The following is a 22,470-nucleotide window of genomic DNA, read 5'->3' as shown; positions in this document are numbered from 1 at the left end:
TTAGGAGTATACCTTTCACAAATTTCAAAATGGTTTGGCATTTTTTGTTTAAATTTCTTAAAATTAATTTCTAACTTTATTAAATTATAATCTGTGACAGTGATGTACGTTTTCCTTTTGGCATTTATTAATGCTTGTTTGATTTTAACATTAAAGATACTTTAAGAATCTTTTAAGATTTTTTCTTAAGATTTAAATCTTTTTCTTTAAGATTTAAATTTTTTTAAGATTCTTAAAAAAATCTTTTAGTCTTGTCTACTTGGACAAGGCAGCTAACAGTTAAGCAAAAAAAAAAAAAAGGAAGCAGAAATCATATCAGGTTTAAGTGAGGAGTGAGGAAGAAATGCAAACAAGCTGATACAGATTTCCTTGAGCGTCAATTAACTATCTCTTAAATGCAGACGATACTCCACATGTAAGGATTATATGATACAGTGCTTAATTAGGTATAAAGATAGTTCCATGAATTGAATGGCTGCTCCCCACAAAAGACATGTTTAACTTGAACTTACGAATGTTCCAGTTACTTGGAAATTGGGTCTTTGCAAATGTAGTTAAGTTAAAGATCTCAAGACATTGTCCTAAATTAGAATATGCCTTCAATCCAGTGACAAGTGTCCCTAGAATAGAGGAAACATGGGTAAGAAGGCAATTTGAAGATGGAGACAGAGACTGGAGTGATGTGTCTACTAGTCAAGAAACACAAAGGATTACTGGCACCCACCAGAAGCTAGGAGAGGCATAAAATGGTTTTGCCCTCAGAGCTTTAAGAAGGAACCAACCCTGAACTCACCTTCATTTCGGGCTTCTGGCCTCCAGACTGGGAGAAAAAATAGTTCTGTTGTTTTAAACCACCAAGTTTGTGGTAATTTGTTAATGGCAGCACTAGAAAACTGAGCTAGATAGACAATAGTAAGATAACATTGTAGAGATATAGAGAGCTGGCACACAGATCTCTAATACATGGAAATGCCGTTAAATGTTCTATTCCTTCTATTGAGATGGAAATCATTGAAGAAATGGCATTGTTCTGATACTGTGCTCGCTGAGCAACTTATTTTAAGCTTCAGTTCATTCATACTCTCTACCATTGGCCAGAGCGAAGGCTTTCCTTTTTGTGTGTATTTATGACCTTTGGTCTCTATTCCCATTTCCTTCACCTCCTATAGGCATCTATTCTAACATGTTTGATGCTTACCTTTTTATTTGCATGTGTTCTTTTAAAATATTCAGCTTTTCCTCATTTACTACTCTCTTTCAAAATTGTCTTTCCTATTTCTTGCTCTCTATTCTTCCATATCAATTTTAGAATAAGTTTATCATGCTCCTTATAAAAGATAGGTTTTGATTGGAATTTCATTGAATTTATAATTAATAAGAGAATGCACATACACATCTTTATCATATTAAGCCATCCCATTGAAGATTATTCTTTTTATTCAAATTTATTTATGATTTATTATTTATTAATTTATTATTCTCTTTTTATTCAAATTTTAAAATATACTTTAATAGAGCTTTTGAATTTTCTTCATAAATGTTTTATATATTTTTTAATATGTTTATTCCTATAAGGTCTATGAATTTTGTGGCTATTGTAAATACTTTATTTCTGGTTATATTTTCTAGATGGTCATAGTATAGAGAAATGTTATTGATTGTTAAATGTTGAGGTTCTGTCTGGCAATTTTGCATATGCATTCTGAATTTGTCTCTTGATTCTGTTGGATTTTTTTCCTGTGTAGATGTACTGGGTTGAACAGTGTTCCCCCAAAATTTATATCCACCCTCTCCCTAAGACTGTCACTCTTTTTGAAACAGGGTCTTTGCCAATGTAATTAGTGAAAATGAGGTCATAGTGGATTAAGTGGGCCTTAAATCCAATGACTAATGTCCTTATAAGAAGGCCATGTAAAGACACACAGATGAAGAATTCAGCCATGTGATAATGAAGACAGTGATTGGAGTGCTGTGTCAAGAAGCCAAGAATGTCAAGGATTCCCAGCAACCACCAACACTAGGAAAGAGGCACAGAACAGATTGCCCCTCAGAGCCTCCTGAAGGAACCCTGCTGACACCTTGACATTGGACTTCTGGTCTCATGAAATGTGAGAGAATAAATTTCTACTGTTTCAAGTCACCCAGTTTGCGGTAATTTGTTATGTCATCCCTAGGAAACTGACATACAAGTTGAGCACCCCTAATCCAAAAATCCAAAATCTGAAATGCTCCCAAATCCAAAACCTTTTGAGCACAAACATGACATAACAAGTGGAAAATTCCACACCTGACCTCACGTGACAGGTCACAGTTAAAACTTTGTTTTATGCACAAAGTTATTTAAAATATTATATAAAATAAACTTCAGACGATGTGTATAAAGTGTGTATGAAACATAAATAAATTTCTTGTCTGGACTTGGGCCCCATCTCCAAGATACCTTATTAGGTATATGCAAATATTCCAAAAAAATTAAAATCTGAAACACTTGTAGTCTCAGTCATTTTGGATGAGAGGTACTCAGCTCGTAGAAGATAATCACAATATCTGCAAATAACAGATACATCTCTCTCCTACTAATCCTTATACCTCTTTTATTCTTTGCTTTACTTATGGTATTTGCCATAACAGCCAGTATTATGTAAAACATTTGACACTGACAGTGGAAATTCTTGTCTTATTTCTGATCTTGAAGAAAATATGTCATTTTTACATTAAGTATACCTGTTGTATTAGTCCATTTTCACACTGCTGATAGACACACCTGAAACTGGGCAATTTACAAAAGAAAGAGGTGTATCGGATTTACAGTTCCTCATGGATGGGGAGGCCTCACAATCATGGTGGAAGGCAAGAAGGAGCAAGTCATGTTTTACGTGGATGGCAGCAGGCAAAGAGAGAGGTTGTGCAAGGCAACTCCCATTTTTAAAACCATCAGAGCTCATGAGACTCATTCACTATCACCAGATCAGCATGGGAAAGACCCACCCCCATAATTCAATCATCTCCCACCAAGTCTCTCCCACAACATGTGGGAATTATGGGAGCTACAAGATGAGATTTTGGTGGGGACACAGAGCCAAACCATATCATTCCACCCCTGGCCCCTCCCAAATCTCATATCTTCACATTTCAAAATGAATCATGCCTTCCCAACAGTCCCCCAAAGTCTCAACTCATTTCAGCATTAACTCATAAGTCCACAGTCCAAAGTGTCATCTGAGACAAGGCAAGTCCCTTCCACATATAAGCCTATAAAATCAAAAGCAAATTAGTTACTTCCTAGATACAATGGGGGTGCAGGCATTGGATAAATACAGCCCTTCCAAATGGGAGAAATTGGCCAAAACAAAGGGGCTACAGGCCCCATGCAAGTCTGAAATCCAGTGGGTCAGTCAAATCTTAAAGCTCCAAAATGATCTCCTTTGAGTCCATGTCTCACATCCAGGTCATGCTGATTCAAGAGGTAGGTTCCCATAGTCTCAGGAAGCTCCACCCCTGTGGCTTTGCAGGGTATAGCCCCTCTCCTGGCTACTTTCACAGCTGACATAGAGTGTCTGTGGCTTTTCCAGGTGCACAGTACAAGCTTTCAGTGGATCTACCATTCTGGGGTCTGGAGGATGGTAGCCCTCTTCTCATAGCTCCACTAGGCAGTGCCCCAGTTTGGGGGCTCTGACCCCACATTTCTCTTTAGCACTGTCCTAGCAGAGGTTCTCCATGAGGGCCCTGCCCCTGCAGCAAACTTCTGCCTGGTCGTCCAGGCATTTCCATCCATCCTTTGAAATCTAGGCAGAGATTTCCAAACCTCAATTCTTGACATCTGTGCACTCGCAGGCTCAATACCATGTGGAAGGTGCCAAGGCTTGGGAGTTGCACCCTCTTAAGCCATGGCCTAAGTTCTACATTGGCCCTTTTCAGCCATGGCTGGAGCAACTAGGACTCAGGGCACCAAGTCCTTAGGCTGCACACAGCACAGGGATCCTGGGCCCAGGCCACAAAACCACTTTTTCCTCCTAGGCCTCTGGGACTGTGATGCGAGAGGCTGTAGCAAAGGTCTCTGACATGCCCTGATGACATTTTCCTCATTGTCTTGGTGATTAACATTCAGCTCCTCATCACTTATGCAAATTTCTGCAGCCATCTTGAATTTCTCCTCAGAAAATGGGATTTTCTTTTCTATTACATGGTCAGGCTGCAAATTTTCCAAGCTTTTGTGCTCTTTCCCTTTTGAAACTGAATGCCTTTAATAGCACACAAGTCACCTCTTGAATGCTTTGCTGCTTAGAAATTTTATCCACCCAATATCCTAAATCATCTCTTTCAAGTTCAAAGTTCCACAGATTTCTAGGGCAGGGGCAAAATGCCACCAGTCTCTTTGCTAAAACATAATGAGAGTCACCTTTGCTCCAGTTCCCAACAAGTTCCTCATCTCCATCTGAGATCGCCTCAGCCTTGATTTCATTGTCCATATCATTATCAGCATTTTGGTCAAAGCCATTCAGCAAGTCTCTAGCGAATTCCAAACTTTTCCACATTTTCCTGTCTTTTACTGAGCCCTCCAAACTGTTCCAACCTCTGCCTGTTACCCAGTTCCAAAGTCGCTTCCACAGTTTTGGCTATCTTTTCAGCAGCGCCCCACTCTACTGGTATCAATGTACTGTATTAGTTCATTTTCACGCTGCTGAGAAAGACTTACCCGAGACTGGGCAATTTACAAAAGGAGGAGGTTTATTGGACTTACAGTTCCACATGTCTGGGGAGGCCTCATAATCATGGCAGAAGGCAAGGAGAAGCAAATCACATCTTATGTGGATGGAAGCAAGCACAGAGAGAGCTTGTGCAAGGCAATTCACTATCATGAGAAGAGCACAGGAAAGACCCACCCCCGTAATTCAATAATCTCCCACCAGGTCCCCTCCACAACACGTGAGAATTATGGGAGCTACAAGATAAGATTTGGGTGAAGACACAGAGCAGGTGGAATTAATAAAACGTGTTACATAATCTCTCAAAATGAAGACTTTTAAATATCTCTCATCTCATAAGGGTATTATAATAAATAGAATTTATCAAATGTGGGTTTTTTGCAATTGTTAAGATTTTTTTTTTACATTTAGTCAATTAATGGGCAAATTTAATTCTTAGAGTGTTTTTAATATTGAAACTTTACTGTATTCCTAGATAAACTATTTTTCATGATGTATTATTTTTGATACACTTTTGAATTCTGTTGATTAACATTTTATTAAGGAGTTTCACATCTGTGTTTGTAAGTAGACATTTTCTCTTGTGCTCTCTCCATCGAGTTTGAAATCAGGCTTAATCTAACGACATAAAATACGTAGGCAGATTTTGCTAATTTTTCATTTTCTAGAAGAATTTTTATGTTTGGAATAACAGTTTCTTCAAGATTTGCTAGAACTTTGGCCCAGAAGTTTCAGAAAGGGAGCCTTTGAATATGATTTCAAATTATTTACACATTTATTAGTTTATTTAATTTTTTATTTCTTTTAATTTTGTGGTCTTTTATGTTTTTTCAAGTAGGCATATGTTTCATATTAAATTTTAAATTAACTAAAGTATAATATCTTAATAGTCTATTATTAATCTGTTGTGAATGATATTTTTTCTTTTTTCATTCTGTTTTGCCTATTTACATGTTGTTTTTCTTTTTTTCTGTTTGTCAGTCTTGTCAGAGATCTCATTATGTGATCAATCATCTCAAGAATATGTCTGGAGTTTAGTTACATGTACCTATTATTTTGTATTATATTTCACAGATCTATGCCCTTAATTATTTATTTCTTGCCTGCTTATTTGGGTTTGTTCAATTCTCTATTCCTAATTTTGTAAATTGAATGTGTAGCCGGCTTGTTTTTAATCTTTGTCATTTTCTAATAAGATTTTTTAAAGCTATAAATCACCATCACCTACCTCCCTTTGTACTACTGCTGTGACTACCTCTTACAAGGCAAGGCAAAATAAAAATGGTATAATGTATCTTCCTGTGGATCTTACCTCTGGGCAGAGAATATGCCAGTCAGAGTCTGAAAATATGCAAGATATGTCCCATACCTTATTATGAACAATCAAATATTAATGTAAGGTAAAGAGGAACATGAAGTGAACAATGGAAAAGTAAGAAATAATTAGATTCACACATCCATGTTGGTATGTAAAGAAGAGAGGCACACTAGAAGTAAGATACTGATATAGTTTGGATCTGTGTCTCCACCCAAATCTCATGTCAAATTATAATCCCCATTGTTGGAGGAAGGTCCTGATGGAAGGTGATTGAATCATGGTGGCAGATTTCCCCCTTGCTGTTCTTGTGACAGAGAGTTCCCCTGAGATCTGGTTGTTTAAAAGTGTGTGGCACTGGATCCCTCCCTCTCTTCTTCCTGCTCCAGCCGTATAAGACGTGCCTGCTTCCCCTTTACCTTCTGCCATGATTGTAAGTTTCCTGAGGCTTCCCAAGCCATGCTTCCTGTACAACCTGTATAATCATGAGCCAATTAAACCTCTTTTCTTTATAGATTACCCAGTCTCAGATACTTCTTTATAGCAGTGTGAGAACCGACTAACACAGATACCAACTCTGTCTTCAGGACAGAGACCAAAATTAAGATTTTGGTCAATAGGACCCCTTTGCTCTTTAAAGATAATTCTTCTTGTTAGTACATGTTTCATTAGTTTATATATTTTCTTTTCCTCCCATTCTGTGATCACCAAGCATCTTCTGAGTCCCAGTTAAGTTCATTGTGCCCTTCCTATATTCCAGGCACTGTGCTAAGCATTGGGAAAATAATAGTGTAAAATATAAGCAAAGCGAAGTTTTATCTCGAAGTGTTAAATCTGTAATATCTCATCTAGAGTACCAGCTGGCCTTTCCTAAACATCTTATTTGTAAGAAAACATTTGAATTATCATTAATTTTTCTGTGCTTGGGTGAAAAAACTCTCTTTATATCCCTAAGCCCTATATATTTTAGAGCTAATTCATTGAGTGGGATTCTGTCCTTTATAACTTGAGTGAATGGTTGGATTTTTTAATGTGGTGGGAAATGCTAATTTTCTGACTTGGGCAGTAGATAGTTGAAGGTGCCAGTCACAAGGATAGAAAATATATAAGGAGTAATTTGGGGAAGGAAAACAAGTACAGGTTTTTACACTTGAGCCTGGGCTTTTTTGTGGAATCCAAATGGTGATATTTAGTAACAGGTCATTGGTTATATAGGTTAAGATCTTAAAAGAGATTTCAGTTTTAGAATGAGATTCAAGAGTCATACTCCAATAGACATGCTTTAAAGGCATGGAATAGATGATATTATCCAATGTGTACAGATGAGAAGAGCACAGGGCCAACATTAACTCCATCCCCTCTAAGCTGATAGTTCTAGTGCTAACCTTTATTTTCCTACAAACCTGATTCATGAGTAGTCAGTTCTTATTTATTCTGCTTTTCTTTCCTGTGCTGTCCTCCACCTTAGTCTGAAAAAAATTTATATATCTAAGCATCACCAATGTTCTTTATCTCCAATTCTATTGACTACACTCTCCAGTTTCTTTTTAGTATCCAAACTAAGTATTCTTTCCTGGCTTCCTCAGAACTACAACTCCATGGCTATTGTTTGTTTATTCTTACAATGAATCTTTATTGAGAGCCTCCTACAGGTTGAGCATCCCAATCTGAATGTCTAGAATCTGAAATGCTCCAAAATCTTAAGCCTTTTGAATACTGACATGACATTCAAAGAAAACACTCATTAGAGATTTTTGAAGTAGGCATACTGAAATGGTAAATGTAATGCATGTATTCCAAAATCTGAAAAAATCCAAAACACTTCTGGATGTGCAAGTTGGCAAACTGCAGTTACCTCAAAGACATGTTTCCCCAAGTAATAAAGAATTGAAGATTCACTTCTGATATTATGAGAGTGACACATGGCAGAGAACACAGGCTGATTGGAGATTTGATTCTCCTTTTGGAAGAATGAAACACCAACATCAGAGCACCTAAGGGAATCTGGTCAGAGGGAAAGATGGCTTAAACCTTTCCTGAATGCCTTATTGAGGTCATACACTCTATACTTCGTTTTCTGTGTGAGCCTCTCCTATTGGAAATGCTATTCTGTGTTTGTGTAGGTAAATAAAGGCAGACATGGTTTAAAACCATGAGAATCATTAGTTGTAGAGAAGCAAGATTATAATAAATTCAAAAAAATTGGTTGTAAAAATGTTTTGGATTTTAAATAGGTATACTCAACCTGTATGTGTTTAACACTCTTTTGGGTACTAAAAATACAGCAGCAAAGAAAATAAAGTCCCTGCCCTTGCAGAGCTTACATCCTCCTAATCGTTTGGTTTGCAACTTCACTTAAATGTACTTGTAACTACCTAATTTTTTTTCCTAACAATTCCTATTGCCAAATCAATTATCTCTAATATTCTAAAGCCTACCTCTTATTTTACCTTGTTTCAAAATCTCTGGACCTAAATCAAGCAAGAGCAATTAATTCTGTATAACATTTCATTCTCTGCAAACAAAAACTATGAATATTATTGTCTCCGTCAGTTTGGGCTTCTACAACAAAGTACCATAGACTGGGTGGCTTGTAAACAACAGAAATATATTTCTCACAATTCTGGAGGCCAGAAGTCTGACATCAGGGTGCCAACATGGTCAAGTTATGGTGAAGGTCATCTTCTGAGTTGCAGACTAATGACTTTTTGTTATGACCTCACATGTCAGAAAAAGAGTGAGCTACCATCTCTTTGGCTCCTTCTTATAGGGGCACTAATGCCTTTCATGATATGGCTCCATCCTCATTACCTAGTTACCTCCCAAAGGCCCCACCTCAAATACCATCACATTGGGAACTAGATTCCAACATATAAACTTTAAGACAGGAAAATATTCAGTTCATAACAATAATCATTCCTATTTTAGAAATTGAGAAAATGAGGCTTAAAGAGGTGTACTAACTTCCCTAAAGTAGCACACATATTAAGTGGAAGACCCAAGTAAGAAGCATTAAGGTTTCTGCCTCCAATCTCAGCATTTGTGCCTTTATTCTATGGTAAATAAGCTGCCCCAAAAGACATCAAACGTGTGATATCTAAACAGAATGGATTAACTCTACTCTTTGGAAATTTTCTCATATGAATATCAGAGTCATTTTATACCTTTCTCTCCCTCACACTACGTCAAAACAATCATAAATTTCTTTAAATAGTTCATAGTCTGATATCTGTCTCCTTCTGACTCCACTGACATTGACCTGGCTCATTCCTTCATTACCTCCCTCAATGCCACCTATTCATACAAACAAAACTCACCTGATCCACATCATCACTACTCTCCCTATGGTCAATCATACAAATTTTGTCACCATTCTCCTAGCTTACCCGATGTATACCTCTATTTTTTTGCTCCAGCTGATCTTTCTAGCATAACTCATTCATTAAGAAATACTTGTTGAGCCACTATTATGTGTCAGCCCTGTGTCTCAGGTGCTAGAGCTTGGATTCGACAAGTCACCATTGAAATTTATTGAATGTTTATTTTGGCACAAATGTTGTCCCACTAATCTTCCCAAAAGGGCTATGAGTTAGACAGTATCCATTGTATTTTTCTCTTCTTTATGTGAAGAAACAGATTTAAAGAGCTTATGAATTCAGAACAGAGAAAAGGTAAATTTGAGCTTTTTCTGTCTGAATCCAAAATCCTCACACTTAATCCTATTGTATTAGAGTTTTTCAGAGAAACAGAACCAATGGGATATAGGTATATACATAGATACAGACATAGAAGAGATTTATTATGAGGAATTGGTTCATGCAACTATACAGTCTGAGAAGTCCCACAATCTGCTGTCTGCAAACTGGAGGCCCAGGAAAGCCAGTTATGTCATTCTAGTCCAAACTCATAGTCCTGAGACTCAAGAGGGCAGGTAGTGTCTTGGTCTCAGCTCAAAGGCTTGAGAACTAGTAATGGTAAGGTCTGAGAAAAGGGGTAGATGGATGTCCCAGCTCATGCAGAGAGAGCAAATTTGCTGTTCCTCTGTCTTTTTCTTCTATTCAGGCCCTCAACCGATTAAATAATGCCCAATCAAATTGTGAAAGTGTAACTTCTTTACTCAGTCTATTAATTCAAATGCCAATCTCCTCCAGAAACATACTCACAAACACACCCAGGAATAATGTTTTACCAGCCATCTGCACATACCTAAATCCAGTCAAATTGACACATAAAATTAACCATTACAAATCCATGCTTGTCAACTCAGCACCCATACACAGCTCCTTAAGCCATACTTGATCTTCAAATGAAGACAGTAACAATCTACCTACCATAATACAAATATCCTGCATATAGCCAAAAACACACTAACCCCTTCCCCAGAAGAGGAGATAAAAGTTTTGAGTGGTATTTACTCTCCTCCTGATAGCCCATAATTTGACACTCTGATGTAAAATTAGTAATATTTAAATACTGTTATTAAGGTCAACACATCTTATACATGACAAGGGGATAAGAGAGGAAAGAATACAAAGATATATGCCTAATCTAGGTATATATACTCAAAAAATGAATTCATAACTTAATAAAGTGGAAATACACATAACAATTACAGTAACTGGTCATATTTGGCATTTATAACTACCTTGTTCTACTACTTATTCTGATTTCCCTTGGCCTTTAGCAAGCACCTCAGATGATCATGGTTTTTTACCTGGTGGCATGACACAAACCTTTATTCCTCAAGGCCATTCACACTCCTGCCTGGATTGGATTGCTGTAATTTTCCTTTGATTTTAATTACTAAGGTAATACTAAGAGATGCACTAAAGGATATCCTGTATGCCAGGCATACTCTTCCTTACTTCCACTTGGTGGTCAGGATCTAACACCCCAGCAAACACCGTAATTCCCTTCCTTGTCTATTGATTCAGAGGCATGAGAAGCCCAAAGTGCAGGGTGTCAGTCATAACTTCCAGTTCAATGGAATCATTGTGACTCCTGGGTGAAAGTATTCCTTCTTCTGGAACTAAAATCTCTAGGTAACAGGATTTCCCTTCACCATTGTCCTTCAGGGCTGTCCCTGAGAAGGGCTGTAGTACTGCAGCTGTCCACTTTCAGGTGGTGCCTGCATATCATACAGAGAATCATCTGTAAACAAGTCATCTCCTCTTCCTTGTCAACTGATTATATGGAACTGCCAGTGAGGCCATAGGTGCATCAGGGAGACAGAAGATAGTGTCACAGGAGTAGGGCCATGGGCACTTATAAGACCTCTCCTCCTGATACTTCTCTTCCTATGGAAGTTTTGCTCTTCCTTTAAGACATAGTTTGAATCTTGATTTCTTCAAGAAACTTTGGCTAATCAGAACTAAATTTATCTTATCACCCCAATATTCCCAGAGTACTTTTTAATAACGTTTCCTTATATAAACTGCCTTTTTATTAGTATTTTCTATGTCTACATGAGTATAACCCTAGGACATAAATTATAAGGCCCTGAAGGAAAATGATTATGCCTTTTTTATAATTATATTAGTGCAACAAGTTGAGGAATGTGTACATAAGTAGGGGGGAAGAAATAATTGAATGGAGTAGTACAACTTCCTAAAAGCTGTAGTCTTATATGCCATTAAATAAGACAGCATGCATGTATACATGTGTATGTGTATGTGTGTGTATGAAATCATCAGGAAGAGCTTTCAAGAAGCATCTGTACATCTTTAGGTGAGGAAATTTAAGTGAGTATATTTAAATCCAATCATTTTAAAATGTGTTATTAAAATAGCAGATGTAGGATATTGATTAAAAATTGAAATTATTCAGAGGAAAATATTATCCTTCAATAAATATGAAAGTTCATTATGACGCCAGGAAGAAAAAAGCATTTTAGTATCTACTTATGCCACATCATAATTGCTATGGTATGAACTAAGTATTTGTTGACAGTCACCTATGATTATACTGTTTCAAGGTTGAACAACTTTGAAAATTTTACCTTTATTCTTTGGGCTTTCCATAGTCTTTTTAAGTCAAATGTTCTTTAGAATCAGTTAATAGCTCCAGATTTACCAAAGGCAGGAAAATACACAGTTGGTATGTTTCAGAGTCTTGTCCAAGCACAGATGAGAATTTCAAGTCCGTGACAAAAGTCCTCAGAGTTGTTTTCCTTAAGGCTGTATGAATGACAAAGAAAATTCTATCCTATTATATTTTACATGCATATTGTCCCCACTCCTTAACTTTAAAGTTGAGTACAATTTATTTTCTTGCATATCTTGCAGATATGCAACATATAATTCGCCACTGAACCCTATTTTTCTTTGCACTTTCCAAACCCTTGTGTATGTAAGCACAGCCTCATACTCAAAGTTCAAGGTGACCAGGATCTCTTTTAGTAAATGTCCACTTCATGTTACATTGTCCAACATTAAGGAGTTTGCTTAATTAACAATGTTAAATCCACACCACGAATACCACCTTGGAAGTAACATTATAATATTTACTGACATGAAACCAGGTTTATGATATGTTATTATTAAATAAAAAAGCAGTATGGCATGTGCAGTTAATTCTAAATATTATATGTGTTTATCAGTAGATATCTATGTTCATATCTACCCATTTGAAAAGAGAGAAAAGATGAGAAAACTGGTTTTCACAATGCTTCTCTCTGAACAGTAGACGTTTGGGTTAGTTATAGTCCTTTCCACTTGCCTGTATTTCTAATACTTCTCACATATTTCTGCACTAAACATGCTTTTGAATGCACTTTAAATCTTTATTTAAAAAGCCATATTGCAAAGCTACCCACTTTATATTTTGTAAACAGCTATCAATTTTTTTTACATGTTAATTTAAAAGTTAGTTTCAAAGTACAGTGATGAAACAGAAGTACAAGTATATTCTTGGTTTTATGCCAGCATCTTAGAAAGGTCTGGTGTCCTGTAACCTTGTAATTGTACAATAGAAAGAGTTTACAGATATCTTTCAATAGAACCAGGTGAATACAGTGAAGAAGACACTCATTAAAGTAAGCAAATAATATCAGAATAGAGTCCTCATAATAAGTAAATACGATTTCATTCCAGTGAAAGAATAATGATTTGGAAAATAAAGCTGCATAACTCCTAACGAATTTAATAACAATAAATTCACCCTTCTCAAATTTTAAATTTTATATATAATGACCACTTGATTAAAGTTGTTTTGTTTTCTTTTGTTTTTAATTTTTAACTATTCTAGGTCTGCCCTCTAACTATTTGATATTCAAGTTCCAATTGGAACTAGTTAATGTGATTTTTATGATAGCAAGCTTTAAATATTATGGAAAAAGAACAGGAGTCTCAGTGTCAATGCAGAATTAAGAAGTATTGGAGGGGTGCAGAAAGTAGGAGGGCTTTAAGGAATACATCTCTTTGATATTGTGATGATTAATACTGAGTGTCAACTTGATTGGATTGAAGAATGCAAAGTATTGTTCCAGGATGTGTCTGTGAGGGTGTTGCCAAAGGAGGTTAACATTTGAGTCAGTGGACTGGGAGAGGCAGACCCACCCTCAATCTGGGTGGGCACCATCTAATCAGCTGCCAGGACAGCTAGAATAAAGCAAGCAGAAGAAGTTGGAAAGAACAGACTTGCTGAATCTTCCAGCCTTTATCTTTCTCCCATGCTGGATGCTTCCTGCCTTCAAACATCAAACCCCAAGTTCTTCAGCTTTTGGACTCTTAAACCTACACCAGTGGTTTGTCAGGGACTCTCTGGCTTTCAGCCACAGATTGAAGCATGCACTGTCAGCTTCCCTACTTTTGAGGTTTTGGGACTTGGACTGGCTTCCTTGCTTCTCAGCTTGCAAATGGTCTATTATGGGACTTCACCTTGTGATGGTGTGAGTCAATTCTCCTTAGTAAACTCCCCTTCATATATACATCTAGCCTATTAGTTCTGTCCCTCTAGAGAACCCTGACTAATACAGATATCATGGCACATTTTAGCTTTCCAAGAAGCTACAGGTTACTAAAGGCAGATCCAAGTAATTAGTCTCTTATTTTTGTTCTCTATTGGAAAAAGAAAATAAAACAAAACTTTCTCTTTCTTTGATGCATAAGAGCTCTGAGACTTATAGGACCTTTTCCACAAAATAGATGTGCCTCCTCCCACCTATTCACAGGTAACCACTTACTCCAGATACAAAAATATCTAAAGAGACAGATAAAGATCATACATTCTATTTAGGAAAATTAAATCTAGTAAATAGCATAAGCTCTGATTCTATTTTTTAATTAAAAATAAAAATAAGTAAACCTAGTAAATATTACATGCGTTGTCTTTCAGTGTGAATATTATCCTAAAGATCTTGAAAGACATACTAAAGTTCAGAAGAATACATTTCCCATCAATGCATGATACATAAGTCTCTGAGGAGGATGTTTGGTAACAGAGAGAGAAAAAAATGACTGTATGACAATCAAATATGGAGTCATTTAAGATCTGAAAGCTTTCATGTGGATAAACTTGGATTGTTCTATGCTCAATATTCCAACTTTTTAATGCTTTGACTACACAACAGCCCTGAATCATTTGAGAATACACCAAGAAAAAATTATGGAGTGAGCAATCCAGCTATTCTGGAGTAAAGTGAATATATATCCCTATTTTACACCAGCCAAGTTAATTTGACCAGATTTTTACCCCTGTCCCTACACCTGGGCCACTCTATGGGACTAGCAACTGACTATACCTGATTAAATTTGTGGTAATGCAAATATCCAATTTAAGAAGGCCACTCAGAGAGCCATGTAGATTCTGGAGAATTTTGTTGTACATAGTTGGGAAAGCTGTTATTGCTGTGTTGAGGATGAACACTCAAAGACATAAATATTTTCACAAAATGGGATGACTGACTCTGCAGACACAGCCTTGGTCTGCCCTCCTGCAGGATTCTCCCAGCTCTGTTCACTATTTCCATCTCTGCAGCCTGAAAGCTCTCATCCCTTAAATATAGGGCTGGAAATACAATCCCAACCCCATTGGCATTTCCTTCCTTGCAGGACAAAAGGCCTGAAGCAAAGAGTAGGAAAGAGCCTAGTACTTAACAAAATGTTAATCAATTCTAAAGCATACATATTTCATCAATTCTAAAGCATACATATTTTGCTCATATTTTAATAGCTTTAAAATTGAGTCATGTCATTTTACAGTCACTATGAACAGGGATCATGACTGCTATTGTTCATATTGTTTATATTATATCACTTCAATTGAATTATGTGCACTTGTTGGCATAAGGAATGTAATGATCTTTTACAATGTCTTAAAACATAGATGGTGATTCATCAAAATCAAACAATTATGTATGCATAAAGACACAGAAATAGAGGGGTGTTGGAAATGATTAAATAGTCATTATTGGAGAAATAACAACAAATCCAAATTTTCCTGCAAAGGAGCAACCAAGAACATTATAGCAATTAATAAAGGAAAAATCCCACAAGTGGATAAAACTATGATGCATAGTAATGCTTTTCTAACTTGAATCATCTGGGGATCATGCTAAATGTGCAGATTCTGATTCAGTAAGTTTGAGGAGGAACCAAAGATTCTGCATTTCTAATGAGCTCCCAGGTCATGCCAATGTTGTAAGGTACTGAAGAATTACCCCTCTACACCAAGCAATGCAGCTAAGGATGAGATAAATTGCCAATTTTTTTCCAAATAAATGGGGAAAAAATTTCAAAGCTCTAAGATTCTGGTGTGATCAATTCAAATTTTACATAGGACTACCATTAGTCAGAAACTTCCTGATGACTTTAAAGATAAGTTCTTACTGCTCAGCTACGTTCGCTTCAATGGAGAAAAAAAAAATGAGTAGTCAAATAGAAATGGACTGTCATTAAAATTTGTAAAATGGTTATCAGTGATAGAGCACTTTTAAATAAATACAGCTTCATAAATGCTTTTAATGGCACTAATAGTGACATTGTATTGAAAACATGCCTGTCGATAACTGTTAAGTTGAGAAATGATTCAGAAGAATAGGATTCCTTATGTAATGACATTTAAGTAATACTTCAATAAATTTATGTTTCTTATTATTTCCTTTTTAAGTATGAAGAGGAGTGATATATGATTTTTTAAAAATCTATGTGCAAGAGAGTCTAAAAGTGCTCTTCCTGTAAGTGTAAAATAAAGAGTCCAAGTGCTAAAACATTGTATCATAACCAGAAGAGGTTTTTTTTTCTTAGTTCTAAAATACACTTTTTCTCATGAATAATGGTGTCCTAGATTTGAAAAAATACATCAGAATGACAGCCAAACATCTTACCTCCACTCCTACAGACAACACACACGCACAGCATTCAAATTATACTTTGAAAGTAAATAAAAGTATAGGAAATCAACAGGAAGCAACTTAGAATGGTTTTCTATAAAAAATAAAGAAATCATCTACCCTTAAAAAAATCCTATAAATTGTTGACTGGGGAGTTCGGTAATGTTTGGATTGTATTCATTACGACACAGCCTCAACAGACAAGGACTATTAAAACATATAATCAAATAAATTGCATTGTCTTCATTATAAAGAAAGAATATATTAACGAAAAGGGAATGATCCAGAGGAAAGACAGTAAAGGGTCTCTAAGAAGAAAGAAGCCAGGACAACCCAGGAAAGGACATGTCCCGACCCCAGAAATAAGTATCCAATCCCTCTTACAAATGCGCCCCAAGCGAAGATGGATGTAATAGACATTTGATCATCCAATTCATTCTCCCTGGATTGACTGTATGCTCACCAAGCAAACGTCTGATTATAATTTGTCCTTTTATGTAATTTTACTGCGAAGAAAGAGAATTCACGTATAACAATACAAACATTCTACTGTCCCTGAAAGTTAAATATTTAAAATGATGAGTTAATAAATTAGAATTCTGGACAACACATCAGCCTCTTAGGGATTTGGTTTGGTAAGAATGCCCAGAGGATGTCACCCCAGAGCAAGCTTGAAAAATTAATTTCTGGGCCTACAGAGCTGAGAACCAGATCCAGGAATGCGATGACCTTATCAAATAATAATTCTGACCTTGTCTAAGTCACCAGCTGGCTTCCCAAGTGTGTACTTCCCTAACTGCAATAATTACTACAATTCACATAACAAAAAAAATTCAGAAAAGTTACAGACTAGGTTTTATATACCATTTTCCAACTCTTGATTTATTCCTCAGAGGCATATGTAGTTTCTTAATTAAAAGCTACTCTGTTTTCCTGCATTTCTGGCTTATTAACCAAAATATTATCAGTCCATTGGTAGATGATAAATTATTCATAATTTCTATTTGAGTCTCATAGAGGAAAAATGCAGCATAAAGTTTACTACACAATCTCATCTAGACTAAATCCATCAGTATGGACTTACCAGGGATATAGTGAGAAATTAACTAAAAATGAGGTAAATTAGATGGGTAAAATAAAGAAATAAATACAAAAGATAAACACAGCAATACTGGCTGTCAAAGATGGAAAATAACCATTTAGACAATCTAATATTGTTTTGTTTTGGTTTGGTTTTTACTTTTTAATGTATATATTTTAAAATTTCCTTTTCTTTTAATATTTTAACTTTTATTTAAGTTCAGAGGTACATGTGAAGGTTTGTTACGTAGATAAACTTGTATCATGGGGGTTTGTTGTACAGATTATTTCATCAACCAGATATTAAGCCTAGTATCCATTAGTTATTTTTCCTGATCCTCTCCCTCCTCCCACCCTCCACCCTCCACCCTCCGATAGGCCCCAGAATGTGTTGTTCCCTGATATTTTTTACATCAATTGTTTTTGGAGTACAAGTGGTTTTGATTACATGAGTGAATTATACAGTGGTGAATTCTGAGATTTTAGTGCACCCATCACCCAAGTAGTGTACGTTGTACCCAATATGTAGTTTTTTATCCCTCACCTGTCTCCCACCATCCCTGCTTCTGAGTCTCCAAAGTTCATTATATCATTCTGTATGCCTTTGTGCACTCATAGCTTAGCTCCCACTTATAAGTGAGAACATATGATATTTGGTTTTTCATTCCTGAGTTATCTCACTTAGAATAATAGCCTCCAGCTCCATCCAAGTTGCTGCAAAAGACATTACTTAATTCTTTTTTACAGCTGAGTAGTATTCCATGGTGTATATATACCACATTTTCTTTATCCACTCACCAGTTGACGGGCACTTAGGTAGGTCCATGTCTTTGCAATTGTAAATTGTGCTAGCAATCCAATATTAAACACAATGACTTCAAAATAAAACTTTCTTACATGCAAGTGAGTTGTGGTAATTGTCTAAAATCAGTGATTCTCAAACTTTAACATGAATCAGAATTACCTAGAGGGCTTGTTAAAACACAGAGTGCTGGGCCCCATCACAAAGTTTCCAACTTGGAAGGCCTGGAATAGGGCCAGAGAATTTCCATTTCTAGCAAGTATCCAGATGCTGCTGATGCTGCTGGTTGGAGGTCCATACTTTGAGAACCACTGTGTAATCACCCAAGGGGCTTTTCCTGCCTCCTGCATGAACAAAATCAGTTCACTGAGACCATGTTATTGCAGTAAAGAAAAAAGTTTAATTGACACAAGGCCAGCCATGCAGTAGATGGAGTTATTACTCAACTCCATCTCCCCAAAAGCTCAGAGGCTAGGGTTTTTATGGACAACTTGGTGGGCAAGGGGCTATGGAAAGGGTACTGCTGAATAATTGGGGATGAAATCACAGGAGTGTGGGAAATGGTCCTCGTGTGCTGAGTCCACTTCTGGGTAGGGCCACAGGACCAGCTGAGTCCATGAGTCATGAGTCCAGTGGGGTCAGTCTGAAAAACATCTCAAAAGAACAATCTTAGGTTCCACAATGTGATGTTATCTATAGGAGCAATTGGGGAAGTCACAAACATTGTGACCTCTGGCCACATGACTCCTGAGCAGAAAGGGATTATGAAAACTATGCCCACATTTTAGCAGAACTCAGGCCCCTCCCATAATCCTAATCTTGCGGCCTTTTATTAGTTTGATAAAGGTATTTTCAGCCCCTGAATAAGGAGGGGAGTAGTTTTAGGGAGAGACTATTATCATCCTTGCTTCAAAGTTAAACTATAAACTAAATTCCTCCCACAGTTACCTTGGCCTACATCCAGGAATGACCAAAGGAGGTCAGAAGCAAGATGGAGCCAACTATATCAGATTTATCTTACTGTCATCATTTTGAAAAGGTGGTTTCAACTGTTCTTATCTTTTAATGGATATTTAAATTAATATAAAAAGAAAAATTCTTACGACAGTATTTGTTAACACTAACTGCACATTGGAATCACCTAGGGAGCTTTTGAAATTTGATTTCCTGGGATGCACCCAAAACCAATTAAATGACCATTTATGAAGGGTGGTGCCCATCTTCCATGCTTTCTTCTTTCTTAATAAAAATTCAGTTTTTTGAGTTTGGGTAAAAGTGATGAGCCTACCTCTATACCTTCATGTAAGCCATCATTGAATGCTGCATTGATGAATGACTTTGAGGCTCACGAGTTCCTCATGTGCACTTACCAATCTCACTTACCATAGCATGGCAGTTAGAAACTTAGATTCTGGAGCCACACTTCAGTCCCCAACTTAACCTCTCTGTGCCTCAGATATGCCTCATCTGTAAAACGAAAATAGTAAAAGCACCTGTCTCATACAATAGGGTGAAACAGTCAGCAGCATCTGGCCAATGCCAAGTAAACACTTGGTATTATTATTATCATCTCAACTGTGGAATATTTAAGAGGCCCCTCTAGCATTATAGTAGAATCTCGGCCCCTCTTGAAGTGTCTTCCATTGATCTCTGATTGTCCCCAAAGCAGTACATCATAAACAAGACTATCTGCAGAAGTAATTTGCCTTCTTCCTTCTTGCAAGTTCCTCCCTGCTCTGACTCTCCCTTGTCCATAAAAAAAATATTGCCTAAAAAAGTGCTTACAGAAGCCTCATTTCCACCATTACAGTTGATAACCACTACACTGCCCATGCCTCCAGTATAAATGGGCTCTGGGTTCTCAAGAAAGAAAATTCACATATAGAGTTAGGCACGCTGTTCCCTGGGCTTCAGCATAGCTTTTGTGCTAGTGTCAGACAGAGCATCTTGCACAGAGCAGATTCTGTTTCTCCTGATCACCCACAGATGATCACCTTCATTCCACAGGGCTAGACCAGGAGACTTTCCTACATCTTCCCCCATTTTCCCACTTTTTTCTTTTCCTTCTAGTATTATGGAGGAGAGGAGTCAGAAGAGCTTTCTCTTAAACAAAAATCTATTCTCTCCTTAGGCATTTGAAAAAAGAAAACTTCTTATGCATCTTCTTATGCATCTGAACAGAAGCCAAGTTAACAAATACACTGTGGTACAGTTAGGGGAGGAGAAGTTGACAGACTGTCTACAGTAGTAAGAGATAGCTTAAAAGCCTGTAAAGTATTTTCTTTTGTTATCATGATAACTCATGATCATTACATCATTGCAAAAGTGCCATTAATATTATCGTTTCCATTTCATAGGAGAGAAAAATGAGGGTAAGCAAGCAAACCCTACCAATCCTGCTGATTAAAGTATTAAAAGTACTTTCTTAGAAGTGTTGAAAAATAACTGACAAACTGTGGGAAATTACCAGGCCAAAGTTGAAGAGAAAATGGGAGTCCAGAGAAGTAAACAAGCTCAGAAGATCCTTTTGCCTTGGAGGCATTTATCTAGCCACAAAAACTTGCAATTCCATTTGGATGACTTCTGTAGGGAATCAAGGTATGAACCCCAGGGATGACAGAGGATCATTAGTTAACCAGGAGCCACAATAAACTGGGATACAATAAGAATTTGCCCTGGGTGTAAGCATGAACCAAAAGTGAAGCTACTCTTGTCCAGAATTTCAGCTTAGGTTCTAATCACCAGAGTTATCCAAAGACCCTCAAGCTCTCAACTTAGTTTAAGATGATCCAAAACAGAAGTAATGTAAAAAACAAATTCCTTCTAAGGAAAAATAACTTTATTCTGTGCTTCAAATTATTCCTTCAAAGTATTGTTCAAATATGATTAACAGCATACAGATAACCAGGAGCAGCACAAAAATAACCAGAAAACTAGATTGCATGGGAAAGATTAGCAGAAAATTTAAGAAACAACATACAAAATCAGACTTACACAGACTTCAGACAGGGACTACATGCAAAAAAAGAATTAACATAACAGGGCTGACTGCTATGAAGCCATCCCCGCAAGACTGACAAGAATTGTATGCCAGGTTCTGGACAGAAATATAGATATGATTAAGCATTAATCAGGCTGCACTTTGGCTGACTTCTTTGCTGCTAAAAGTCACTTAACACTAGATTCTGACCAACTGCATCCCCAGTGTGTGCCTATAGATAGAATTTCTGACATTACGGTCATAAGACTGTTTAAAAATTGGTTTGCATTCCCATTGTTCCTATAGACAGGATCTCTGACATTAGAATCATAAGTCTTTGTTTAAGGATTGCTTAAGATGTTTTTCAGACCCTGAATGTCAGCGTCCAGTTTGAAAACTTACACAGATGGATAGAAAACTTACACAGAAGGATCAGCATGAGACTACAGCTTCTTCATCTGCCTGTCCCGTGTCTTCATCCTGCGTTCTTTGACCAATCAATGGTTTCTGCACTTCCACCCACTCCAAAGTCCTTAAAAAGTCTAACCCCAAGTTCCCTGGGGAGATGAATTTATGGTTTCCTCCAATCTCCTCATTTGGTGACCCTACAATTAAACCCGTTTCTCTGCTCCAACCTGGCATCTCAGCATATTGACTTGCTGTGTGCATGGAGTGATAAACCTATTACAGTTACAGCTATTCTCTGAAAGGCCTACTTACAAGGCTAGCTCTTGGCTGGTGTATGGGAACTTGTACCTTGGGAGGATTCCCACCATCTCTCATTGGTAAGAGTAGCTCATTGTGCCTAAACTGTTTGTGCAAACAGTATGGTTTATGCTGAACTCCGGTCCTCCTTCTGAGAGTCTGTGTATGTGCCAGGCAGAGGTTGCCCATATGATCACCCCCAATTAAAAACCCTGAGCACTGAGTTTCTAAAGAACTTCCATTGTTAGTAACATTCAACATTCATATGTGTGGTCATGACTCATTGCTATGAGAAGTGTGTCCCATGTTTCTCCACTGGGAGAAAACCCTTGGAACCTTGTTCTTGTTTTCCTCCAGACTACTCATGTACCTGTTCCCCTTTGCTGATTTTGTGGTGTATTCTTTTCCTGTAATAAGTCTTAGTCATGAGTATGACTGTATAATGAATGCCGTGACTCCTTCTAGAAAATTACTGAACCTGGAGGTGGTCTTGGGGACACTCCAACACAGACTATAAAAAAACTACACTTATAATTATAACATTTAAAAAAT

The 22,470-nt window shown here is 37.0% G+C and overlaps 1 long non-coding RNA gene across 1 annotated transcript; it reads right to left on the bottom strand.

Annotated features, from left to right (window-relative positions):
- Positions 1-518: 518 nt before the first annotated feature.
- Positions 519-21,254, bottom strand: CNGB3-AS1 (CNGB3 antisense RNA 1). The gene is made up of 5 exons (XR_001745726.1): positions 21,228-21,254; positions 19,617-19,700; positions 18,396-18,876; positions 12,020-12,197; positions 519-620 (listed from the first exon to the last, which is right to left on the bottom strand). It is a non-coding gene; the product is annotated as a CNGB3 antisense RNA 1 (long non-coding RNA).
- Positions 21,255-22,470: the final 1,216 nt, after the last annotated feature.

This window comes from Homo sapiens, chromosome 8, assembly GCF_000001405.40.
Source record: "Homo sapiens chromosome 8, GRCh38.p14 Primary Assembly".
In the NCBI taxonomy this organism is placed as follows: Eukaryota; Metazoa; Chordata; class Mammalia; order Primates; family Hominidae; genus Homo; species Homo sapiens.
The sequence above is the reverse complement of the archived record's forward strand: the minus strand, read 5'-3'. Positions and strand labels throughout refer to the sequence as shown.